This window comes from Homo sapiens, chromosome 2 (genome assembly GCF_000001405.40).
Source record: "Homo sapiens chromosome 2, GRCh38.p14 Primary Assembly".
NCBI lineage: Eukaryota > Metazoa > Chordata > Mammalia > Primates > Hominidae > Homo > Homo sapiens.
The window spans coordinates 115,073,853-115,101,502 of NC_000002.12; the positions used below are offsets into that span (position 1 = coordinate 115,073,853).

Consider the following 27,650-nt stretch of genomic DNA (forward strand, 5'->3'; position numbering starts at 1 on the left):
TTACTGAATGGTAGCTTTTTTATACTCATTTGTGCTCCTTATAAAATAGGCAAAGTTAAGGGAAAGTGATTAAAATCACATGAGCCTGTTCTCTATTTGGCTGTATCTCTGTAAAGAGTGAGAAGAAGGTTGGCTGTTTTAATTTTTAAGACAGAAAAATGATTTTTTGATTTTGTTTTGATAGAGTCTTGCTCTGTTTTCCTGGCTGGAGTGCAGTGGTGCAATCATAGCTCAGTATAACCTTGAACTCCTGGATTCAAATGATCCTCCTGCCTTAGCTTCCCTAGTCGCTTGGACTACAGGCACACAATACCATACCCAGATAACTTTTTTAAAATTTTTTTTCAGAAATAAGGAATCTGCCCAGGCTGGTCTCAAACTCCTGACCTCAAGCAATCCTCCTGCCTCAACCTCCCAAAGTGCTGGGACTACAGGTGTAACTACCAAAAACGGCAGGGAAATGATTTTTTTAAACACACATAGCAAAATGTTTTTGTCTTAATATGTGATGCCCAACTTAAAATAGTTACCTTTAAGAGCTGAGAGGTTATTCCAAAGATGCTGCACTGAAAAAAACATTCATAGCCACACGTATGAAATTGTCTTCCAGAATTTAGGGTACGTGAAGCAGGATGGAAATGCAATCGCAAGGTCCTAGGGATACAAACCTGGGACAAACAAGCAAGTTTCCTGACTCTATAGAATTTACCTTTCAGAGGTAGACAGATGTTGATCAAGTGCTCCTACAGAAAACTAGGACATGTAAAATAACTAAGGATGGGAGGGGAGCAAATGTAGAAAATGGTAAACCATTTCGAAGGTAATGAGGGTTGTCCGGGGAAAGAGATGATGACACCCTGGACTAGGTTTGGGTGCTGGAGTCAACTTATGTAAATTATTTAGGAGGGAGAGCCAACAGGATTTGCATATCATGGGGATTTCTGCATGTATTATTTTAGAGGTGAAATCAATGGGACTTGAAAGAGAAGCTTATATGTGATATATCTGACTTGAGCAACCAGATGAACCATGCTGCTAGTCAATAAAATTGGCAGGATTAAATAAATCTCTTATATGAGGTAGAAGACCACATCTTGAATACATTGAGTTTGAGATGCCTTTGGACCATCCAAGATGAAATGTCGGATAAGCAGCAGGAGCGATGCCTTGGTCCCACAGACAAGAGAGTGAGAAGCAGTTATACGTGGGTCATGGTATAAATCATATGATGGCCAGTGAAGCCATGAGTGTGGGAGGTCATATTCAGTGAAAGCTCAGAGTGAGAAGAGTGCCTTTACACAAGTTTTTATTAAGGACTTCCTGTGATAGCATTGACTGCTGATCACATTGGTGTTTGCATAAAATAGCATAATCTAATCCACAAATTCTCTTTCTTAGAAGTTGTTTAGAAGTAAAAGCAAAGCTGCTCTTCAATAAATGTCTCTTGCACATACTCAGCAATCCTAGAAGAGAAGCCAAAAGATACAATCAGTATGTAAAGGTACGATCAGTGTGTAAAGATACAGTCAGTGTGTAAAGATAGGTCAGTGCTTAGAATGATCGAGGGGAAGTCCCAGATGAAAAATGTTGAAGGTTGTCTGGCCATGTCAGTTTCAAACCCAAATGAATCCTGAGATTTTTATGCCCTATAGAAATAGTTACTCATTAAGATTTTATCAAAATAGTCTCCTTGAAAAAATAATTCTCATGTTTGTCAGCTGCAGTGTGTAATCTAAAATTTAATTAGAGATTTTAAATATCTCTTGAATCTCTGATAGCAGTTTTCAAGACATTTGAGGCTTATTAGCTCAGCCCATTTTACTGCAGGGAAGAATGAGATAGCAATGGTGAACTTTTTTTTTTTTTTTAATGTTAGGCAACTCCTTTTATTCCATAATGAGAAAACACCTGCTTTTTAATTAAAATTCTATTTCTGTATACCTTTGTTTGAGTAGTTGAATCCTAAATATTCAGGGGCAGTGAGTCCATTTAAAACTCATAACAAGTAAAACTTCTTAAATTTAATTGTACCCTTCAGGTTCAAAAGTGCTTTGGTAATTTGGGTTCTAAACAGAATGTGGGAAGCAATTAAGGGAGGCTGCTATTGTGAATCATGCATCACACTCAGAATCGAAAGACGTGGGTTTTCATTCACCCTGTGCTACACACAGGATATGTTTATGAGCTGAGCTCTGTGGAAGCAGAGACATTTCTTAACCTCCCAATCTCCACATCTACCTTATAAAGATTTGGTAGGTTTTGTTGTTTCTGTTGTTGTTGAAGTTTTAAAGTTTATGGTGAAATATATGTCAGACATTCAGGTAAGAATAAAATATTATAAAAAGTATTATAATAAACATTAGGTTTCTTTAAGCTAACATTAGGAAGTAATTACTTCAGTTTATTTTTTAAGGAATTAAATGCTATAAACACAATTGAGATCCTTTTTCTACCTTTCTCCCATATCATTTCCTTCCCTCCTCCTCCACTATACATACAATTAGGAATTCAGTGCACATAAAAATATTTTTTTTTAGACTGAAGGACTCCTAGATCCTTATCTATGACTATAGAGAAACAGATCAGAGAGTGTGCTAAATCTATAGGTGCTGGCCCTGTATATGTCAAAAGGATAATAATTTCTATAAATGTATTCTGTACTTTTGTTACATAATTATGTATTGATAAGTATATGTAATTTTTTGCACTATGTGTTAACGTTTATCGAAATAGCACTACGTGTACATTACACTACATGTAACATTGAACCTCTTGCTTTTTTACTCAATATTTTTTTGAGTTTTCTCTATGTTGGTAAAGGTTACTAATTCATTCCAAGTTCTACATCATATTATTCCATTTACAAATGTAGCATAATATAGTCTTCCATATTCCTGCTGATGGATGTTAGATTGTTTATAATGTTAAATTGTTCATTATAAATAATGAAGTAATGAGCATTACTGCTCTTGAACATGCCTTGTGTTCATATGTGAGAGTTTTATACACAGGATATTTCTTTCTTGCTGTAGACTAAAATTGTTCACTTTTACTATCACACTGCTATATTGTTTTCCAAAGTGGTTGTACAAATTTACACTTCCAATAGCAGTGTATGAGAGTCTTATTTTTCCATATTTCTGCAAATATCTAGTTTTTCCTTTTTTGTATGTGTGCCTGAATTTATCTCAGACTTTCATAGCTAAATTTTTGGGGCCACCTCTACTGTCACTACTAACATCTCCATGAATGCCACCATCTCCCTGATTCTTTCCATGCGAGCATTGTATATAGGTGCAATGGAATGGGCCAAGTGCTATTTGTAATCATGGCAGCTGTCGTCTAATATATAACTCTATATAATCAAAATAACATGAGTAAAATCTTTAATCTGTCTTATTCATTCATTATATGTTAGTTAAATGTTGGCACTAAGAATAATTATAATTCTGATTTAATAATTAAAAAGATAAAAGAATTATATAATTTTTTATGAGAACACACCAGATTCACCATGAACTTCAAAGAGGGATACATAAAATTCTGCCCTTGTGTGGATCAAATACATGACATCTAACCTCACCGGAAAACTGGAAAATTAGTCAAAATAGCAAATAATTATGTAGCTTCTTCCATCCCCTCTTTGACATTCCCTAATTTCACATAATTCTAGAATTAAAAGGAATACAGTAACAACCTTGCCTAAGTTTCTTATTTAAAATTCAGGAAGAATATTCTCAAATTATGAATCCTAAAGAGGTGAAATGCCTTGATAAAGTCACATAACAACAGATTTTCACCTTTAACTTCTTTTTCCTGATTTTTGGCAGCCTGAGACCCTGCAGTGCAGTGTTCTGCCAAAACACGTGGGCCTGTTGCCCTCAAGAACAGCCCAAGCCATCAAGATTTCCCTGACTCACTTGTTTACTCTAACATCTCACCTCCTTTTTCTGTAATATTTCAGGACTTTCCTCCTTGCTAACCAATCTAATAAGCTAATGAGCCAGCACTGGCAGAGGTTTAATGTTCTATCCATTCTCAATAATATTGCCCAAGAGGGAAATTTTTCAGCCAGTTTCTGTTGAAGCCTCTCAAAATATTACTCTACAACTATCAACCTAATCTTCTCAAATGTAGGCAGAAAAACAAAAATCACTTCAGTCTTTTCTATTTTAATTTACTGAGGTACACTAAAGAAAACTTCTCTATCATTATCCACCTCATAAAGGCCTGAGACAATCACACTCATCACTTAAATTCAGACATAAGCATGGCACGCTAATGAAACTAAGGCAAATATGAAGGTAACAGTTTATTTTTAATGCCTATTAAATATTGTTAAATTAAAATGAAACATTTAAGAAAATATATGTGACATTCAAATGAACACCAAATGATTCATTTCACACTAGTCAATATTAAATTAACTCCATATTACATGAAAATGTTAAATACTACTGAAATAAGCAGCAAAAGAAAATTATACTGTAACCTCACAAACACATCATGGTTGGAAATTTGTTATTCAAAAAAGATTAAGACTAATTTTGTAAAACTGTTTTAAAGTCAATTATTTTTAAAAAGAATTACGAGAAAATATCATCACATCAGTGGTTCCATTATATGTTTTAAATTAATGAACTAATGAAACCCACTAAAATGTAGGCAGGTGTAAACAAATTGCTGTTTGTATAACGCAATACTTAGTAAAGATTATTTAAGTAGTATGCTAAAATCTAAACAATACGTAGAGTCTATAAAGGATAACTTTTAGAATTACGTTTCAAAATTAAAGTTGAAATAATAAACTGAAGAAATTGCTAACCTAATCAATTCTGAGTTTGCAATATACAACACGGGATTGGTCACCTGATATCAATATGTAAGTTGTTTCAAAGTGCAAACTTGATTTTAAAAAGTTTCTTTGGTCTTCATATTAAAGACATATTTAAGTATCACAGATAAATTACTCAAGTTATCAGTTAAATTGCTCAAAGAGTAACACCATAATTACTATACAATAATATTTTGATTATTTTGACCTCTATAATCATGCTGAAGAGATATTTATAGGTTCTTGATTAATGGGCAATTTTTTGATTTAGATTAATTCTATGATAAACTTAAGGTTATCAAGTCTTATTTTTTCTTCAATAATTTAACATTCACACACAGACACACACACTTGAGTCCACGCTTGAGTGCCCACTCTACACCGTGCTGGGACTCAGAAATAAGAAATCCTCGGCCGGGCGCGGTGGCTCACGCCTGTAATCCCAGCACTTTGGGGCGCTGAGGCGGGTGGATCGTGAGGTCAGGAGATCGAGACCATCCTGGCTAACGCGGTGAAACCCCGTCTCTACTAAAAACACAAAACATTAGCCGGACGTGGTGGCGGGCACCTGTAATCCAAGCTACTCAGGAGGCTGAGGCAGGAGGATGGCGTGAACCCGGGAGGCGGAGCTTGCAGTGAGCTGCACTCCAGCCTGGGCGACAGAGCCAGACTCCGTCTCAAAAAACAAAAAAAAAGAAAAAAAGAAAATCCTTAAAAAAATCAGAGATTAACGGGGATGACAGACAAACTAGGACACAGTGTTGCCTGCTATGCATGGGAACGTTAGCAGAACACTCTGGGAGGCCCAGAGGAACAGTGTATATTGGATTTGGGGTGGCATCACTTTCTCAGGGGAGTGTTGTGTGGATTGAGTCTTCAGGGACTAGTACTTGCCAGCTAGACAAATTGGTGCATACTGGGGCTGGAGAAGCAGCCCATGGGACCACAGGAAAAGCAGCAGCAGCTGGTGCACTGCACTCTGGAAACTATACTACCCAAGGTCAGTCATGAGATGAGCTTGATGAAGTGAGAGAGAAGTGTCTAGAGGAAGGGTCAGTACTAAATCGCAAAGGCCTCACATCATGATGAGTGACTGCAGCTTGATGAACAGATAGAGAAGTCTGCAAAAAAAGGTCAACAGAGAAATGGCGTTATCAGATTGATTTTCCAGAAAGCTCCTACTAGTTGCCTCATTGTTGTTGAATATTTCCTACAATTGGAAACATTAAGGGCACATAAGGAGAGGCTTTGTGATGATGGCCCAAGGCTTTACCTGGGATTGACCATAGAAGGAAGGGTCAGAGGCTATGCTATATTTATGGCTAACAGCCTTGTATATCTTTTTTTTTAGATGGAGTCTTGCTCTTATAGCCAAGGCTGGAATGCAGTGGTGCCATCTTGGCTCACTGCAACCTCTGCCTCCGGGGTTCAAGCGATTCTCCTGCCTCAGCCTTCCAAGTAGCTGGGATTACAGGCACCCATCACCAAGCCTGGCTAATTTCTGTGTTCTTAGTAGAGACAGGGTTTCACTATATTGGCCAGGCTGATCGTGAACTCCTGACCTTAAGTGATCAGCCCACCTTGAACTCCCAAAGTCCTGGGATTACAGGCATGATCCACCGTGCCTGGCCACCCTGTATATCTTAAACTAGAACAATAAAGTGAAGGATGTAACTTTTTTTTGTTTGGTTATTTCTTCCTTGTAAGCTTGGACACAAACTAAAATGGCTCATGAGTACAGCTGGAAGTTAACTCAAGTTAGAGGTCTGCAAATTATGGCCCCTGGACTACACCTAGTCCACTATCTTATTCTGTAAATAGAGTTTTGTCGGAAACAACCCAGTCACATTAAAACCAAAGCTTATTCTTCTATGAATTGTCTGTGGCTGATTTTGTACAACAGCAGAAAATCACAAAAGAGACCATAAGGCATGCAAAGAAGAAAATACAGTCTAGCCCCATATAGATAAAGCTTGCCAACCCTTCATTTAAGAGATCACTCAGTGCAGATCGTGTATTTTTTCCCACATATTTCCATCTTTTTTGCTCTTTATTGTTTCTTACACCTTAGATGCACCTGGAATCATTTTCTCTCTGTCTACAGTTCATCTCTTAGAATGACTTTAGTGAAAGTTGTCACAAAGACCCCTCTCAACATTGTTGCTCTGAAAAAGTCCGTTTTTATCAGCATTCCTGAAATGTTCTCTAGATTATAATCATTCTCTTTTAGTGCATTAAAGAGATTATTCCACTATTGACTGTCTGACTTTGTTGCTGTTGAGAAGTTAGCCATCAGTCAAATTCTTGCTCCTTTGAGGGTGATATTTTGTTGCTGTTCTTCACCTGTGGCCTTTCTTAAGATTTTTTTCTCAGTCTTTTTTTCCCCCAGCAGTTTCAATGTAACATATTTAGTTGCAGATTTCTTTTTAATTATCTTGCATGGGATTTGTGAGCTTCTTGAATCTGCAGATTACTGTCTTTCAGATCTAGAAAATTGTCAATCACAATCTTTTCAGATATATCAGCTGTCCTCCAGTCTCTCCTCTCCATCTGGGACTCGGATTACATTTCCTAAATCTTGTGTTGGTGTCATTCATGGTTAGTAATCTCTCTCATGTATAGTCCATCATGGGTCTTTTAAAATTAAACTCAAGATAATTGTTTGCAAGCTATCTTCTCAGATACAAAGTCTGTCTTTAGCTGTCTTCAGTTTGTTGTTAAGTCTGCTCACAGAGATCTTAATTTCTATGATATATTTTTCCAGAAGATTTTTTAAACCTTCTATGTCTGTTTCTATGGTTCCCTGTCCTCTGCAGATATCTTTTAGTTGGTCCTTCATTTATTTACACCTTTCAGTGTAGTTGTTTTATAATCAGTATCTAATTACTTATTAATAAATATCTGATGTCTTTACCTTTTGCTGTGGTTCCGTTTTCCATTTCTGTCCTTTTCTACTTGTTCTCATAGTCTAGCACCTTGTTGTCATTTTTGACATGATGAATATTCTTTTTGAAAAAAAAAATTTAGAACTAATTGACAAACATTTTTCAAAGAGAATGTTCATTGCTGCATCAAGTTCAAGACGTGGTACAGAAAATACATGACTAATTCTACCGAGGTTCTACCACTTCCATTCACCCTTTGCCTGAGGGCAAACTCTTTAGGGTCTCAGTTTATCAAGAAGGAGTCTTATTAGACTTCCAATTTTAGGTGAATTCTGCATTAGATTTTGATTCCATTCCCAGAAGGCCTCTGCTAGGAAATCAAATACCTTCAGGGAAAAATCCGCTTTTGTACCAAGATAAATTTCCAAGTTTTCATTATTCCTTCTTTTCAGGCCTCAAAATGTCTTATTGTCTTGTTGTCTGTGTGATGCTTTTAAGAAATTATTTTGTAATATTTTTATCAGCTTTTTTAGTTGTTTTCAACAGGCCAGAATGTCCCTGTAAGCAGACCCTCCCATTACTATAAACAGTAAGCCTTCTGAACAGGCATTTTAACAGTAAGAGTATTAGGTTAAGTAAGGTCTTAAATAAAAACCTTCCTGCTAAGGTCTTTGCTTCCTCTGCTGCCTTTGTGAGCCAAGGGGAGGTTTCTCACTCTTTAAAACTCCTGTGGGCTTAAAGGAAGGTAGCCAGGCTTCGTGCTCTTTTAGCTCCAAACTGGTACAAAGTCTGTGTTAAAATAGCCAGTCGAGGCCATTTTTGTCTACATGGAACTATGGTTATGGCATGTAACCAGAATGCTAAAAACTCTTTGCTGGTAACATTGTAGACTGCAAAAATGGCAACTTGGCAGCTTTTTGAAAAATGATGTGGAGTCGATTTCTTCACCCTTTCATTCTGGACTGCTTTGCATATTACTTGGTTAATACAATGCTACAGAAAGGATGTTGGATATAATCTGAGTAGTCTCAAGAATTTTGAGGTATATCCACTCTTACTTTTGGAACTCTGTGAACTTCACATCTAATAAATTACTGGACGATTTGAGTCCATATGGAAAGGTGCCCTACTCATTCCAGCCAGTGAACCTACCAGCTAACTACAGATGCATGAGCAATCTCTCTTTAGATCAACTGAGAGGAACCAGTGTGGCCCAGACTAGAACCACTCAGTGAAATTCACACCAGATTGCCAACCTAGGAATTCGTGAGCTAAATAACTGGTTATTGTTTTAAGCTACTAAATGTAGAAGAGGTTAGGTTTGCAGAAAAACTCAACACCTAGAGCTATATTACTTTATTTAAATTGTTCTTCTTAAAATTAAATCTCTCTCAGTTATCAAATCAATGAGCATTTTTCAGTCCTTATCTAATGAGACTATTTTACAGTATCTGACAGTATTGATTATTCGTAAACAATCTATACTCTTTTAGTGTCTATGACACTGGATCTTTGTGCTTCTGCTGGAATTTCTGTACTATTCATTCTTCATTTCCCTTGTAGATTTTATTTCTTCTTGTTTTCCTTATAAGTATCAGCATTTGTTAGGTTTCCGTCTTTTTCTTATGTTTCCATCCACAAACTCTCCCTGTTGGATCTCCTCCACTTTTTTTTCTATTTCAATGACCACTTTGTATAAAGATATAAATTATGTCTTTATGCAAAGCCTCTTCCTGCATTAAAGTCCTGAATATATAATCTGACAGTTAGGTAATAGTCAGATATATGTCCCGAGGCCCTATGCTTCAACATATCCCAAAGTATGTAACTGCGTTCTTCTCTGCCATCTGCTGGCTGGCTATTCCTCTATTTCACATAGTATCACAACTAGTCACCCAGCAACCTACTAGAGAAACCTGGCATAACACATGCCTCCCTCCTCATTATATTTGTGTCCACTCTGTTTCTCTCGCACTGCTCTAGTTTAGGCCTTCCTTCTCTCTCTTTTGAAACATTATGATCGTTTCTTGACTAGTATCCTTAGCTGTAGTTTGTTTCTCTTATATCTATTCTAAACTTAGCTGTCAAAAAAGTTATTAAACAACAACTTTCAGAGCATTTGCTACAGTGAATTTGGCAAATAATAAACATATTTGCTACCACAATTTTTGTCTCTGCCTCTGAAAGTTATCACTAAGTGATTTCTGCAAGATTTTCATGGTAGCATCCAACTACACAGCCAGCCATTGCTATTGGATAGGAGATAGCTTTAAACCTGAAATCTGTTTGCCTTAGGATTGTCAAAGATTAACAAAGCGGGACAGTAGTTAACATGGCAGGGATATATTTTAATCAGTAATATACTACTGCAATAAGGAAGAGGATCTAGTTCTATCACAAACACCTCTTCTAACATCCAGGTTAGTTTTCTTTCAGGTGTCTTTGTATGAAACATCTAGAGTGGGTTAGGGGCTATACCTTTGTGATCCTGTCAAACCTATATGACATCCTATCAATATGAATACGAAACCTATATGAATCCCTATTAATATACCTGCTCACAATTTTGAGGTTTTCTGATGATATTTCTATTTATTTCACTTGGACTCTGTGAAGTCAAGTACTGTATCTTAAATATTTTTATATCCCCATCATTTAGCACAGTACGTGACAATTAAAATCAGTCAGTGATTTTAAAATTTAACAACAACAAAAACACATAATAATGCGCTGACCTCCTACAACTCTAATAGTGCTTGTGGGCTCAACATTATCTGAAAATTGTTCATTTAGCCAGAATTATGATTTCAAAATAACTAAGGACTATAGGCAACTCATTCTATTGCCTCAGGGAAACGTCCAAGGTGTCCTACTTTTGTGGACATGTGTCATCTGACAAAAGGTTGTCAAGTTCACTGTTCTTTCCAGTTCTGCCTGGTACTATGATTGCAGTGCCTAAGCAGCTTGAATTTCCTGGGCAAGTGTGCACCATGCTGTAATAATTCAGAAGCTGTTTTTGTGTTCTTGAAACATATGGTGCTAGCTCAGATTTATCTTGGGAAAAGCTGGTCAGGAAGAGAAACTGCTGAAGAGCTGAAATCTCTCCCAGCAGCTAAGAAAACAACGGAGGGACACTGGCGTCCTTCCTCCGAGAGCTCAGGCTCTCCGCCAGTTTGTGGTCCATATGCTGAATCCAGAGAGCTGCTTCACTTCTAATAACGATTGTGTTAAGTTGTGTGAGGCTGATATTCCTCCAGAGGGCTCACAGTTTCAAGCATACCTAAAAGCACCTGTTAGGAAGCAGAGCCTCAGAAAAATGCATTAGCATTTCTAGGAAAAGGGCTTATTTTTATTCTTCTTGGTTACAGAGTTGCAAGTTGGCTTGTTCAGAAAGAGCTGTTTTTGCACCACACTGATGTTCAGTTTGGTGCAACATTTAAGTCTGGGAAGAGCACAGAGCCAAATGTGGCAAGAGATGGCAATAGAGAAAATGCCAAGTGCCCCCTGGCTTATCTCTTGTAGAAGAATTTGTAGCAAGGCTTAGACCACCTGAAATGAATAGCATTCTGCAGTTCTGTCTGAATTTCACTCTGTGATTTATTATTTCATTATACTAGACTGAATTTGAACCAACAAATAGTTCACCCAGGGAATAAAATATACCTTTACTTTACAGATCCTTTCCCTTCCCTTCCCATATCTTTTTCTTCTTTCTGTCCCACCTCCACCAATGTGTGTATGTGTATGTGTGAGCACGTGTGTGTGTGTGTACTCACATCCATTCTAATTACTGGAAACCTACCTTTGCTGGAGCAGGTTAAATATTGCCTCTTAAATATTAGTATGTTTAGAAAGCCCATTCCTATAATAAAAGTGGTCATTTCTACCCAGTTGTTCCCAAATTTCAATAAATTAATCTGAATAAATGAGTTTATAGATATTACACTTAGAAAATGCATAGTTAAAAGGAAACATTTTAATAAAATAACACTTTTGAAAAAGCCAAATTTCAAACTGGAAAATCAGAAGCAGGTAGTGGCCAGTGCCACTAGAACATGTTAGGAAATCTCAAAGTTTCCCCTCCCCCTTTAAAAAACAGTGTTCCTCAGAAAAAGTATACATATCTCATTTAACTCAGCCTTTTTAGCCCAGTCCTATTATAGTGCTGTTTGTTCCAAACTGTTTTATAAAATATGTTTATGCTAAAATATGTAATATTACCTTCCACTAAATAAATAAATATATTGTACACACATCACATACATATGTGCCATCACCAACTCCTATATGAGGACTAAAGCTCTGATTTTTTATCTTGGCCAAATTCCTACCTAAGGGGTGTCGGGAGTCATGCCCTGCAAACCACAAATTCTCATCAGGTGGGTACCCTATATATCGTGACTTACTTTCCAATCTGACTCTGGCATAACATTATGAGACAAGGAAGAAAATCAAAATATTTCACCCCAAAACATGTTTTTCTGCCATGTCTTGGAATGGCCCTACAAAGCCATCCTTTGTTGGGAAAGATCTGCATCTGTAAAGAATCTCTGTTAACATAGCTAGATCTTTTTCTTTCAGGCCCTCCCAATTCTGAAGAGATTAACTAAAAGTCTAGCACCTTTTAAAGATCTGAATAGGAAACATTTGTCATCTATTGTCTCTAACTGCAGCCACTATAAGATTTCAAAAGAACTTTGGTCTCTACGATCTTTTATCTTAACCCGAATATTTCTTTTCTATCCATCTCAGGTCTTTAGACAAACTCAACCCATTGTCAACCAGAAAATGTTTAAATTTACCCATAGCCTGGAAGCCACCCCCCAACCCCTCCCTGCTTAGAGAGTTGTCCTGCCTTTCTGAACCAAATCAATGTATTTCTTTTTTTTTTTTTTTTTTTTGTGACGGAGTCTCCCAGGCTGTCACCCAGGCTGGAGTGTAGTGGCGCCATCTCGGCTCACTGCAAGCTCCGCCTTCCGGGTTCACACCATTCTCCTGCCTCAGCCTCCCCAGTAGCTGGGACTACAGGCGCCCACCACTATGCCTGGCTAATTTTTTGTATTTTTAGTAGAGACAGGGTTTCACCGTGTTATCCAGGAAGGTCTCGATCTCCTGACCTCATGACCTGCTCGCCTCGGCCTCCCAAAGTGCTGGGATTAGGGCGTGAGCCACCGTGCCCAGCCAAATCAATGTATTTCTTAAATGTATTTAATTGATGTCTCCTGCCTCCCTAAAATATATAAAACCAAGTTGTACCCCAATAACCTTGGGCACATGTCAGGACCTCCTGAGAGCTGTGTCATGGGCCGTGGTCACTCATATTTGTCTCAGAATAAATCTCTTCAAATATTTTACAGGGCTTGACTATTTTCGTCAACATATACTATAATATCTTCCAAAATGTGGTCTTAACTCACGAGAGCAAACAGTGCAGAGTGTGTGATATTTTCTAATTCCATGAGTATTAGCTGGTTGCAAAACAAGCATTCTCAGCCCATGGCACTGTGTATTCCAAGTCGAGCGTATTCTTTAATGTGTTTTTATTTTGCTTCACTCTCTCATGTTACCATTTATCTCATCTTATGGTAAAGCAGTTTTGATCCATAATGGTATTTTTAAAAGCTAAATTTTCCAAACTGAAACACCTAGCTGAGTAGGCCGCGAGTTAAAAGAGTAGTGTGGCAATGGCTGTAGATTCCTTCAAGGAAGTGGTTGAAGGAAGGGATGGATTTTAGGGATTGGTTGAAGTCCTTTAATATTTTCTTCAGCATAAAAAACTGACTAAATCAATTAGTACAAATACTTTCCAGAGCAGTGGTCCTTAAACTCTAGCATGCATCAGAATCACATGGCAGGTGACTGAAACCACAGATTGCTGGCCCCACCTTTAGGGTTTCTATTTAGGAAGTCAAGGTCGTGACCTGAGACTATGTCTTTCTTTTTCTTTCTTTCTTTTCTTTTCTTTTCTTTTTTTTTTTTTTTTTTGACAGAGTTTCACTCTTGTTGCCCAGGCTAGAGTTGCACAGGCTGGAGTGCAATTGGCCCAATCTCGGCTCACCGCAACCTCTGCCTCCCGGGTTCAAGCGATTCTCCTGCCTCAGCCTCTCGAGTAGCTGGGATTACAGGCATGCATCACCACGCCCAGCTAATTTTGTATTTTTAGTAGAGATGGGGGTTTCTCCATGTTGGTCAGTCTGGTCTCAAACTCATGACCTCAGGTCATCTGCCCACCTCGGCCTCCCAAAGTGCTGGGATTACAGGCATGAGTCACCGCACCCAGCCAACTCTGCCTTTCTAACAAGTTCTCAAGTTATGCAGATGCTGTCAGGTGGTGTCTTGGTTGATTTGAGCCGCTGTAACAAAATACCATAGACTTGGTGGCTTATAAACACAGACCTTTATTTTTCACAGTTCTAGAGGCTGGGAAGCCTGGGAAGTTTAAGATGAAGGCTCCAGAAAATTCAGTGTCTGGGGAGAGCCCTCTTCTTGGTTTATAGATGGTGCTTTTTAGCTGTGTCCTCACACGGTGGAAGGAGAGACCTAGCTTTCTCCAGCCTCTTTTATAAGGGCACTAATCCCATTCATGAGGGCTCCACTCTCATGACCTAATCACCTCCTAAAGGCCTTGCCTCCTAACACCATCACCTTGGGTGTTAGAATTTCCATATATAAATTGTTAAGGGACACAAACATTCAGACCATAGCAGCAGGAGGGAACACACTTTGATAGCTGTTCTTCTAGAGAAATGTCTATAGTGCTTTTCAGTCTGGATTTCATAAGGGTTACTATGGTATTATCTGAGAAAAACAAAAATGGTGCTACCTAGCTAACTTCCACAGAAAAAAATCAAAAACAACTTTTCTTTTTTTCTTTTATTTTCTCCTTTTTCTTTGAGAGACGGGGTCTTGCTGGGTCACCCAGGCTAGAATGCAGTGGCCTGATCATGGCTCACAGCAGCCTTGACCTCCTGGGATCAAGGGATCCTCCCACCTCAGCCTCAGCTGGGAATACACATGGGCATCACCATGCCTGATTGATTTTTTTAAAATTATCTGTAGAGACAGGATCTCACTGTGTTGCCCAGGCTGGTCTCAAATTCCTGGCCTCAAGCAACCCTCCTACCTTGGCCTCCCAAAGTGCCGGGATTAGGATTACAGCTGTGAGCCACTGTGCCTGACAAAAAAAAAAAAAAAAAAACCAAAAAACAAAAAAAACCTTAAAACTAAACAATTTTTTAAAAAATATAATGAATTTATATTAATTTTATGTTTCTTTTCCACTGAGAAATTAGGAAAATGTTTAGTGAACTTTTAGCCACATTTAACTAGGAAAAAAACTTCTTAATTTTGGCCTGAATTCCTGGCTACAGCTGACTGACCATCCCTTGACTTCCACAACCTTTATTGCCATCCCAGGTTGGCCCCTCATCCTCAGAGTAACATCCTGGAGAGCTGTCATCATCCAAGCTTGCCTCATATCTTCTGTCCTAAATTTTTATGCGCCACCTTCTGCCCGCAAACTTCTTGACATCTTCAGCCTGATTTCCTCTTTTCCTTTTTTTTCCTCTTTTATCCATTTCTCAGTTCATTCTCTTCTGCTTTCATTGTTTTTCTGAACATACCTAGACCTCATGGTCAATCATCGCATTGATCATTTCTTTCTAATATTAGAAATGTCCTGACTTTCTTGCCATTATTCTTACACACAGTCAGAATAATCCAATCTAATCATTCTTTTCTCTTTGACTTCCACATAACAATCATTGCTAGGAAAATTAATGGTTAGACTGCCATTGGAATTTCCAACTGCAAAATGTCCTGTCTCCAAGACTAGATGAGCAGTAATTGGACATATCCCTAATGAGCACTCTGCCGTTTTCCACAATGTTTATTTCGGATTGTCATCACTGAAGTCCCTTTCTCACTACCCTCTCTATCACACTTTGGAAAAAGATCTTTCCTCCCATACTGTACAAATAAAATAATAATAATAGCCACCAATCATTTTTTCCCTTCAACTTTCTTCACCCTTCCCTATCCTGCTACTTGCGGATTCACTCATCTGTGCCTCATTGTTTCCTGCTTCAGAAGAACACAAGAGCAGAATCAAGAGCCAGCACAAACATAGTTTTGGAAAAGTGCCCGATTTTACTTTCCATATTTTATCACCAGTGTAGTGTATGAAAAAGTAGGGAACATTTAAAAGTTCAGAAACAAGGGCTGATCCATTGCAGTCTGCACTTTCATGTTCCATGAAAACCAAAAAATCAAAAAACTCACTCTATTGAAATCATCTCTTTCCTGGTTTATCTCTTAAACTAGGAAATAGTTGGTTCCTAGGAAATAGTTGGTTAAACTAGGAATAGTTTGGTTCCCTGTGACTCTTGCCTTTCATATCTATGTCTACAGCAACTCAGTATCTAGTACATCACAGGGACTGCCCAGTAAATGATTCAGTGGGTCATTCCTTTTTTTTTTTTCATGTCTAATTTTTGTTGATCCTCACTTTGTGATCCACAATTATTCCCTTTTATTTTTCTCTTCTTGAGTGTCACATTTGTGTTATGTTTTATTTGCTTATCTATTTTGACAAATGTTCACATCTTTTTAAAATATACATATGTATGAGACATAAAAGTGCAAAGAAGAATTCTACTCAACCAGAAGTAACCCTTGCTAGTGTGCATTTATCATACGACATTCTGGACAAGGCTCTGTGCATATTTAAAATGTGTAGTCCCTGGGTATTCTTCTGGTTTCTTTCTGTTATTACCTCTCTTAATGGGGTGGGAAGGAGTAGATAAAATTCTACCTAGAGTAGCTATTTGAAGATGATGCTTCAAATATTATCCCCAAGTGGTGAGGGTTTTGTCAGGGATTTGGGGAGGGGGGTGAGGGGACTTGCACTTGCCTCGGGACAGTCTAAAATTCCAATTTAGGTTTGTCATCTCAAATACACTCTCACAAGTCTGCTACGTTCTCCAACTTAGGGGCATTGCTCTGTTTAGAGTTTGGTTTTTGTAAAAGTTAAAGAAAGAGGAAAGAAACACAAAAAGTGGCTTAACAGTCAAAGACAGGTTTATTTTGGAGAACAAACCTGAGAGGGGTTTCTGGACGATTTTTTTGGTGAGGAGCACTCTCTCTTACGGTCTAAGAGTATTTATTGGTGAGAGAGGTTGGAAAGTTTCTGTGTTGGGGAGAAGTTTATGGTGGGGTTGGAATGTCTCTGGTTAGAGGGCAGGTTATCTGGGGTCTGACATCTCTCTGGCCGGAGGGGAGGGTTATCTCAGGGCTGGCATGTCTCTGGTCAGGAAGGGGTTTGGAATGTTTCTGGTCGGAGATGTCATTTGTGGTTTATGGTCATGCTGACCTTAGCCATTAGGCTGATACCGTTTAGATTTAGGTGGTTTTTGATCAAGGTGAACTTTAAAATGGCAGTGCTCATCCAAGATGGCAATGCTCCTGCTCTGTCAGTTTTCAGGGTGGGATTGTGACTCACAACAATGTTCTGTGATATAAAGAGATGGCCATTGCTTTCCCACCCTCCTCATTCTCTTATATCCAACCATCTCCCTGTGCTAAGAAGCCAGATCAAGGCAACACCAATGGCCCTCCAGCAAGGTTCCACTGTACGACTTCCTCTCCTGTTCTACCTTGTGGATTTGCATCTAAACCTTGTCTGGCTCCCTTCATCCCTCAGACCACTTTCACACTTCTAAACTTCATCCACATTTTCCACAGAGTCATCACATTGTCTTTTCAGATTCATTCACTCACTTTTAGATAAGTCTGTACTTGTCTGAAGTCTGAGGACATAAATATCAGCTTTAATCATCCTCCATGATTTTGATCCAAATTTGAGTATGTGATGGAGATCATTTGAGTTTTAGGTTTGAAGTTAGTTTTTTTGTTTTTTTGTTTTCCACCACATAGGAAAAGTTACACTCTCCTCGCCTTCTCCCCCCTCAACCCCAACATGTGTCTATATGTTTAGTGACACTTAAGGGAAAAAAGTAGAAGAAAAATGGCCTAGTGCTGCTATTTTTCATTGGCCGTCCGTCCTACCAATTTACTTTGAAATTTGTTTGAAGAATGATGTACTGAAGAGGAAAGATGAACAACAGCAAAAAGTCCCTTGTTAGTTATGCTTTGCTCACGGAAGACCCTCATTTTGGTGTCCTATGACCTGCAGTTCAGTTCCGTTTCTCTCCTCTGAGTGTCCATGTTTAGCCCACCTGCCTCTGCATTGGGCTTTATAGCCTATTTGTTGTTGAGTAGTGAGGATTACATCTTGTTAGAAATGTAAGCTGAAAATAGTCACAGTGGAGCTCTAGAATCAACTTTCTTGGCAAAAGTGCTAAATAGTCATCTTGACTCTGGTAAGCCAGGGATACTATTACTACTAATAACCATTGCGGCCTACTGAGTGCACACACCGTGCCAGGTAGTCTGCTAAGGGCTTCAGTGCATTTTAATCTTTTCACCAGCCCAGGACTCTGTTGTTTTTTGTTTTTTTCTTAAGTAAAGAATTTTTAAAATAAAGAAACTGAACCTCAGAAAGCTTAGATAATTTGTGCTAGTTCATCACACTAATAAGTGGTAGACTCTCTCTGTTTGACTCCAATGACTATATTCTTGAACACTATCCAAATGAATACCAAATAACTCACTTTGCAAACATTTCATGTCCATTATCACCTCATTAATTTGTTCATTTTATTGCTCATTTCCAGAATGCTCTTGCCACTCCTTTTATCATAAAACATCCCATCCATTCTTAAAGAGCCAGCTTATATCTAATCTTGTATCTTATCCTTCCCCTAATTATCCAGCATAAAATAGTGTTTCTGCCTCTGTTCCCCATAAGCGTGTCTGTTTTAACACTTATTTTTAATATATCAGTTAATGTTAGACATCTATCACCTTTCGGTCTCAGAGTTGTACCAGTTCCCATCTCCTACTGTATCTGGTAAAGGACAGCTTTTTGTTTTGATTTTCAGAACTTGATTTCAATATATATATATGAAAAGAGGGGACAAGATAAAATAAAAAAAGTAACATTTGATATAATAATGTCTAAGTCAAATTCTAGGATTTACTAGGTGTGTTATATTAGAAAATGCAACAGGGATCACTAAACCTCAATATTGTCTTCTGAAGAAATTATCTTCATAATAAAACTACTTGTTTTACCTTTGATTGAGTTTTTAAGAGAAAAGCAAATACAATAATAAGTGATGAAGTATTATAACTCATAATGTGCTATGTTACTGTATTTTGTCGTTGCTGATAAAAATAGTTGATTGATGACTTTTTAAGTGACTTTTAGGCAGTCTAGAGTGAGCAGTAAAAGAAATTAAAGCTGAAACAGTGAACCTAAAATTCTGTTGTAGAAGTTGTTAATAACTGTCTTTTCTTCAGCAGAAGTTACCTAGTTCTACATTGCCTCTGGCTTTTTGCCACCCATTAAGATAAAAAGCTAGAAGATAGGAACTAGGAAATAGTAGAGATAAGGTGAAAGTCTAGCTTGAACTCAGTGAAGCAAACCAAAATAAGCAAAGATCCCTCACTTGGAGATGTGGTAGAAGACTTGTGTGAATTATTACAGTGACTAACTACACAGAGGAATAAAGTTATACATATAAAGTTAAAAGATATGTAATATGAGTGCTCCTGTTGAATCAGCCAACATGAATTCAGTCATATAGTCACAACAGTGTGCATCATAAAACAGTATCATAAATAGCAATGAGTTATAAATGGAATTGACCAATATACTTAGTGAGACCAATATACTTGGTGAGAAACTACACTGTGTTATTACTTTGTACAATTATAAAAGATAATTGCCCAATATAAATAATAACTAAAATTTAAGAAGAAATTTTCTATTTTTAATCTAGATTATAAAATGAATGATAGTTATGTAAAGTTTATCTATTTTTCTTTGGAAGGAAACCAAATCTGGAGACATAATAATAATTTGGTATCATGTAATGCCTAGGAAATAGTACATATCTAATAAATATTTGTTGAGTGAATAAATGAATGACAGCCACTGTAATAAGTTAAAAAGTTTTTGTAGGTAAAAGACAAGGCTGAAACAATGATTCTGACTCATAAGTGGTGGGCCATTAATTATATACATATATGCAGAGACACACACATAAACTTTAAGAAAATAAAATTTTAGGAAAATAGATAAAATGTCAACTAGTATTTTATTGTTCTGCTAAATGAATTTGTTGTCATTCATGACAGTGTAATGATTCCATCTTGTGTCTTTGTGTAGGCACATGTGTGAACCACTTTAATCCCCCTCTTTTTAATTTTCTAACATTAAAAAAACTATTTTTTTGTGTCCATGAGACATACAGTTTCAAAATTATTTTATGAAATTGAATGGATAGTATAGGAATTAATGTCATGTATATCACAGTGTGATTCCTTTTAAAACTGAATGAGAGGAAGTTAAGGCATGCCTACTGGTTTTCAGGGGCATCTAGTAACTTTGAGTTATTAAGTAATGAAATGTGAGTGACGGAGTTCAAGTTCCTATTAAACATAAGGAGAAAAACATTCATATAGTAGGTTTAATCACTGTTACTTTACACTTTGATGTGCAAATTAAAATCGAGAACGTGTCATTTAAGTAGGCTTAAGAGTTATTCAGAGGTAGAAATATGACAGCAGCTGACCTTTATTGTTATATTTTACTGCAACAAAAGCTCTGTGGATGTTACGCAGTTTCTAGTGTGAATTGTCTGAAGGTGATAAAAGAATTCAAATATCTGGACTGAGGTATATATTTTAGGAGATAGAAAAATCACTTTCTTACCTTCGGCAAACTTTCTCATTGATCACAAGAGTCAAAGGGCAATCTTCAATCCTCTAACTTACATCACATGGTAAACTACTTCCTTTGCAATCCATAAAATGAAAGGTACAGGTGATATTCTGCAAATACAATAAGAAGATTCTGTTGGGTTACGAGCGTCTTGTCTGATTAATTTTTACATTCCCTGGACCTAAAATAATACCTGTTTTGAAACAGTAGCTCCATGAGTATTTACCGAGGTCAGCAGAATTTCATTAACTGAATTTAAATGTAGTAATTGAATTACCCACACAAGTAATTTAGTTTGAGTAGTTTTACTTAGCTAATAGTGGCAAGCATAACATTAAAATGGGCAAAGAAATAAGCATACCAGAGTTCTGCAAGCATTTTCTATAAACAGCCAGATAATAAGTATTTTAACTTACGAGGGTTTAAAAATAAAATTAAGGATATTATGTAGGTGCATACATAACAATTTAAAATGTAACAATTTAAAAACAAAACAAAACTATTTGTAACTCACAAGCCATACAAAAACAGACAACTGGCACTTTGGCTAGTGGGCTACAGTTTGCCCTTCCCTGAAACAGATTTTTGTGCAATAAATTCAAAGATTTTGTTCCCGTAGTTGACCTAAATAATTCTGTAGATTTGGTCCTCCATGATGCAAATTTACATAGACAAGGTGATTAGACAGATGATGGATTGAAATCAATTTCTTGTGAGTTAAATTAAACAATTGAAATGAATTGTTTTATTATGCCTTTGTCTCTGCATATAAGTTAGCAAATTCTGGGAGCCAAGTGGAAAATGTGGATAAAAGGATTTAAGCATGTCTGGAGCCCCTAGGGAGAATGGCATCTTTGGAAGAAAAAAGTTAGTGGAGTTCAAAGTGTGCCTTAGAAAAGGATAGATTTAGATAGAAGATCTCATCCCTGGTAACAGGAGGAAGGTCATATGCAGATGGGCTTTGGGAGGAGTGTGAGGGTGAGTTAGTTGGAGCAGGTGAGGGCAGTGGAGCTCACTCTACTAACCTGGCAGAACACTGTGGTCCTCAAGGCCTGATGTAAGTGCATTTAGCTCTGGGAGACATTAGACACAAGTAAGATCTATTCAGGAAAATGTTATTACTTGTTCCCAAAAGGAATTCTGCAATTCTGTTTGGTTTTTTTTTTGTTTTTTTTTTTTGATACGGAGTCTCACTCTGTCTCCCAGGCTGGAATGCAGTGGCACTATCTTGGCTCACTGCAACCTCTACCACTTGGGTTCAAACAGAAATTCTGCACTTCTAACTGAACAAAATATGCAATTAAATACACATGAGCAATGGAAATAAATTAACTTTAGTCAATTCATTTCTGTAGTTAAATAACAGTAGTTTATGGAAAATTAGTATTGCCTTATCAAAGGAGCCAAAAGCCATTTTCAAGACTGTAAAACATTTTATATGTAGTAGTATTAAGTGGTGTAATAGTAAAATTTAAAAGAAAAACAAACAAACAAAAAGAAGATGAGCAAGCCTCTTGATCTTTCTGAATTTTAGCTTCTTCATGGGTAGGGTGAAGATGTGTTACTTAATGTTTGCCAATGTCTTATCTATCTTTACAATGCCAAGAAGTCATAAAATTTTTATGTTAAATATCTAAAGTATAAAATTACTCTCCAAACTACCCAAGGTACACATGTATGTACTCATGCAACACTTAGACCCATAGTTCCCAAACTATGTGTCAAAGTGCCTTAGGGAGCTTTAGGCTTGTGGGTCATACAATTTCTTACAAAATAACTCAACTCTGTAGCCCTAAAGCAGACGTAAATAATATGCAAACACATGAGCATAGCTGTGTTTTGACAAAGCTTTATTTTCAAAAAGAAGTGGCCAACACCCAAGCTGTACTTCACTGAACTCTGGTATACAGTATATACATATATATTTATATATGCACATTAAATATATGCGTTGATATGCGTTCAAGCAATGTACAAATATATGAAGTTTCCTAATTGATGAATAAAATGATAAACACATAAATACTTAAGTGAAGAATGGAGAGAAGGAAGACAGTAGGTAGATTAGAGATAGCCTGAGTCAAAAGGAATAAAAGCCACTAGTCAGGGAAAAGAGCTTAATACATTCATATACATATACACATACATATACACACAGATGCTCCTCAATTTTACAATAGGGTTTTATCCCAATAAACCCCTCATAATTTGAACATATGATGGGCTTATCAGGAGAGAACCCCATCATAAATCAAGAAGTATACTAAATGCATACACTTTTGTACCATTTTAAAGTTGGCAAATATATGTTGAACCTTCCTAAGTTGGAAAATGGTCTATCTATACATGTATGTACTTGTATATTTGTTCTCTGTTCCTCTATGAAATATTGATGACAAATTTGTTATTTATTTGTCGTAACAGTTCGTCTCAGATGTGATAGATACACAGTGTGTATGATTATGAAACTTGTAAAAAGTTTTAAGAATAAATAAATCAATAAACATCCATTTCAATCCTGATAGTAATGAAGTTTAAACTCATTTCCTTGGTACTGTCTCTTAAAAATAGTAATAAAAGGTTTTGCTTGAGCAGAATGACTGCCTAATGTAGACATTACACTCTTGTGAAAATAACCACTTTGATAATACAAAGATAGCCAGTCTGGTAGAGATTAAACTGAGACAGCTAAGCACCTGTGTTGCAGACATTCAGTTGGCCATGTTATCAAGACCCAAGATATTGTAACAAATAAATAAAGTCATAGTAGTAATAATAATAAAGCTAATCAGGCCAACAGAATGCCCCCCAAATTTATTTCCACTTAATAAATGCTCTTCTAACCTCATATTAAAAATTGTGTCTCTGATTCCAGTTAAAGACCAAATTTTAAAAATACAGAGACTCCAAATCTGATTCTGTATTGAATTCTAATGTGAAGATCTTTGCTGGAATGCTTCAAAGGAGATTAGAAATATTGATTATCATTTAAGTACTCTTAGATCACCAAAATCTCACTAATGAAGAATTTCTTTATATCATGACTGTGATTGGCTAGTTAACAAACTATAAAATGAACATGTAATACATTAATCCCTCAATAACATGACCTGGAATCCCTACATTCTAAAAATATCTCTTTGTTTTCTGCCTGTATTTGACAGAAATACGGCATTAATGAAATGTTCAGTTCTTGCTTAAAGTACATACCGGCATAATTTTTCAAGGAATGTAGGGCTTCAACACTTCTTAAAAGTCAAGTTTGACTCTTCCTAGGATAGAATATAGAGGTATGATTAGGTAACCTTAAGTGAGAGAGAGATTGCACGTAGAAAATAAAGCTTATTCTGCCACCTAGAACAGTTTTTTGAATAGTCCTTGTTATGTCTGAATCTTGTCACTCAGGTCTCAGTTGAAATACTAGCTTTCTACAGAGATCACTTTTTGATCACTGTTTTAGGAAGGGGTCTTTAGAAATTAGATTTTGGGACAGAAATGGGTATGTAGGAAGCTTACTGGAAATTGCCTTGGAATTAACACCTGTAGTGGGGTGAAGGAACCTGGACTGGCAGAGAAATGTAGTCAAAATTAAGGCCACAGCAGATTCATCTTTTTCACCAGGAGCTCTGGTGCTGGAATGCATCTGTAGAATTATTCCAACTTTCCCCAGAGGAGTAGGCATTCATGTCCCCATATCAGTCAGCCATTGGATGAGGGATGGGTGCACACGCATGGTTGTCTTACCTCTCCTTGGCTGAGGACAATTCCCAGAGCAAGGCTCTGACTGAGAGCTTTCAGCCAAAAACACTCCCAGAAGTTGGGGGAGTAACAGCTTCAGTCCTAATGAGAGAAATAGATGGTTTAAAATGGCATCTGCAACATTCTACTCCCTGCACTATTCAGATACTTGTGATTCATATACAGTCATGCATCCCTTACCAACAGGGATACATTCTGAGAAATGGGTCCTTATATGATTTCATCATTGTACGAACATCATAGAGCATACTTACGGAAACCTAGACTGTATAGCCTACTACACACCTAGGGTATATGGTATAGTCTACTGCTCCTGGGCTACAAACCTGTACGACATGTTATTGTATTGAATATTGTAGTCAATTGTCACACAATGGTATTTGTGAATCTAAACATTAAAAAAAAGGTACAGTAAAAATTCAGTACTATAATCTTACGGCACCACCATTGTATAGGCGGCCCATCATTTATCAAAACGTCATTATGCGGTGCATGAGTGTATTAAGTTCTGGAATCAGCTCCTCTAGAATCCCTGGAAAAACACAAAAAGGACAGTAAATGAGACAAACTACAGCCCATGCACTATAGCTAGTCAGAAGTCATAAATGATATTCATTGTTTCTCTCTTCCATTATGATTTCTAGATTCACCTTTAACTAGTGCTTCTGAAGATCTGGGTAGCTACTAAATGCAGAATGTCATATCTGCAGGGTCTGGGTTCTTAGTCATCATAAACTTCTCAGGCCTTACCTGTTTCTCTTGTCCAGTTACCACAAAAATTTAGCAACAGAGAACAAAGAGATGCCTCAAGAATCACCAGGTTTAGGCCAGGCACAGTGGCTCATGCCTGTAATCCTAGCACTTTGGGAGGCCAAGGCGGGCGGATCACTTGAGGTCAGGAGTTCAAAACCAGCCTGGCCAAGATGGCAAAACCCCATCTCTGCTAAAAATACAAAAAAAAAAAAAAAAGAAAAAAAGAAAAGAAAAATAGCTGGACGTGGTGGTGGGTGCCTGTAATCCCAGCTACTCAGGAGGCTGAGGCAGGAGAATCACTTGAACCCAGGAGGCGGAGGTTGCTGCGAGCCAAGGTTGTGCCACTGCACTCCAGCATGGGCGACAGAACAAGACTCCATCTAAACAACAACAAAGAATCACCAGGTTTATTATATGGGGGCCATGCAAATTCTTCCTTGTCCCCATTGTGAAACAGCAGCCATACTTTCTCCCGGTGATCAAGGTAGCATCTCCAGGATGACTATCACTTTATTTGTCTCCTGGAGAACTGGTATGAGAAGGTCCAAGTGACAAGGTAGCAGCTATAGCTTAAATGTTAATGGGGCTTTTGTGGCCCCTCAAGGTCAAGGACCTTTAAACCTCTAGAACCAAGAACTGTAAGGACAGAAAGCATAGATTCCTAGGAGTTCAAGGCAGTGAGCTATGAGTCACTGGAAGTAATGATACACAGAGCCATTACTTAGCTCACATATTCATGTATTATACTGTTGAGGATGTACTCATACACAATGGTCCCTCATGTAGAGTGCATGCTGTCTCCTGGAGGATGGGTCCCCTCAGTGTGTTATTTCCAAGATGGTGTCTCTGTTGTGCCTTTACAAGGATCTTCTTTTGCTCTGTAAGGCTGGCAGCTTCTGAGTGTTGTAGGGTGTGACAGAGCCAGTGGATCCCATGGATATCTGCCACATCTCCTTTGCTGCAGTGTGAATTACTTGGTTCAATAAGATCTAACATATGACATAAATGTTGATGTAGTAAGCAGTCTTTAGTCCATTGTACAATGGTTCTGACAGAGACCCTGTGAGTAGAAAAGGCAAATCTATTCTTGGTTATATGGATGATGCCACTCAAGATGAATTTCTGCTCTTTCCAGAGTGAAAAATATTTAATACAATGAACGTGCCACCAAGTGGCTGGTTGGTCTTCTGAAAAGATGATGTCATATGGGAGGTAGAGAACTTGTCTCTGTTGGCTGCATGCAGTGGTTCACACCTGTAATCCAAGCACTTTGGGAGGCCAAGGCAAGAGGATCACTTGACATGAGTTCGAGGCCAGCCTGGGCAACAGGGCAACAAAGATCCTGTCTCTATAAACACCCTTAAAGAAATTGGCCATGCATGGTGGCACATGCCTGTAGTCCTAGCTACTTGGGAGGCTGAGGTGGGAGGATTGCTTGAACCCAGGAGTTTGAGGCTGCAGTGAGTTATAATCTTGCCACAGGACTTTAGCCGCTGAGTGACAGAATGTGACCACGTCTAAATTAAAAAACACACACACACACACACACATATGAAATATATATAAAGGAATATATAAGAATTATATATATACACACATATATTTGTATATACGTATGTGTGTATGTACATGTGTGTGTGTATGTGTGTGTGTGTGTATATATGTATCAATTGGTCTCTGTTATTGGCAGCTTAGGTATCCAAAGTGGCGGTAACTAAGATGGCATATGAAATATGCTGACTGACATGAACTGGCTAACTTAACTTGGATGATCACTGCCTCTTTTAAGTTGCTCTTGGGGGAGTATTAACCTGTGACACAAAGATGTTCACAAATTATGATCATTCCCATAGATCCATCCACATATCTAATTTCCATATCTCCTTTTTCTCAGTCATAATGTTTATCCTTCCAGGCCCCTGAACAATTAGTCAATTCACCACAGTCCATGAGTCTGTAAACATCCTTATCTTGGGCCACTTTTCTTTCCACACCAAATGGAAAACTGCATCACTTGCAGCTCTCACCACTGGGAGAACTTATTCTTACAGTTGTTTTTTAGGGTCACTTTTAGTTTTTACCCACATGCTGAGCCAACTCCCCTGTGAACCAAGCTCAGTCACTTTCCTGCTCGGCCCACCAGTCATATTTGTCCTCATCACGCAGCCACAGGTATGTGCTGTGGGAGGGATTTTGATGTAATAGTGATGGATGACATGGAGTCTGGGCTACCTGATTACACATCATAGTTGTGCCCTCTATTTCTGCTCTTGCTCAATCCCAGGTGTGCAATTCCATCTTTTGATGGATTTCTTCTGCACCTACCCCACCTTATGGCTGGATGAGACTCTCAGAAATTCATGATGGAAATATCTGGTTACAAAATCACTTGATATCTCGTGGTTGGCTGACACATATCTCCTAATAACTGCTTTTGGTATATAGTATAATTCTCCAGTGAGGTGGCATGATCTTGGACCAGAACTCTAGGGGTGTACATTGTGATTCTCCTGTCAGAGTTTGCCATAAACTCTGCATTCTTTCCTACCACTGATATATGTAATAATATGTT

General features: G+C 37.7%; 1 protein-coding gene and 1 long non-coding RNA gene across 13 annotated transcripts in view, besides 1 other annotated feature; one reads left to right on the top strand and one right to left on the bottom strand.

Annotated features, from left to right (window-relative positions):
- DPP10 (dipeptidyl peptidase like 10) overlaps positions 1-27,650 on the top strand; it is a 1,403,140-nt gene that overhangs the window by 631,212 nt on the left and 744,278 nt on the right. The gene's annotated exons all lie outside the window — the stretch shown is intronic.
- On the bottom strand, positions 1,290-25,240 carry LOC105373575 (uncharacterized). 2 transcript variants are annotated; one of them, XR_007087207.1, is made up of 5 exons: positions 25,076-25,175; positions 24,311-24,406; positions 23,777-23,838; positions 20,558-20,676; positions 1,290-1,463 (listed from the first exon to the last, which is right to left on the bottom strand). It is a non-coding gene; the product is annotated as an uncharacterized LOC105373575 (long non-coding RNA). The 2 variants fall into 2 exon arrangements; XR_923237.3 differs by lacking the exon at positions 1,290-1,463 and adding an exon at positions 5,514-5,955 and having other exon boundaries at positions 25,076-25,240.
- Positions 11,860-12,707: an enhancer, noted in NCBI's record as "OCT4-NANOG hESC enhancer chr2:115843289-115844136 (GRCh37/hg19 assembly coordinates)". NCBI's record gives its function as "activates a minimal SCP1, AML or CMV promoter by ChIP-STARR-seq in naive H9 embryonic stem cells {active_cell/tissue: H9 hESC(naive)}" and the evidence as "EXISTENCE:reporter gene assay evidence [ECO:0000049][PMID:30033119]".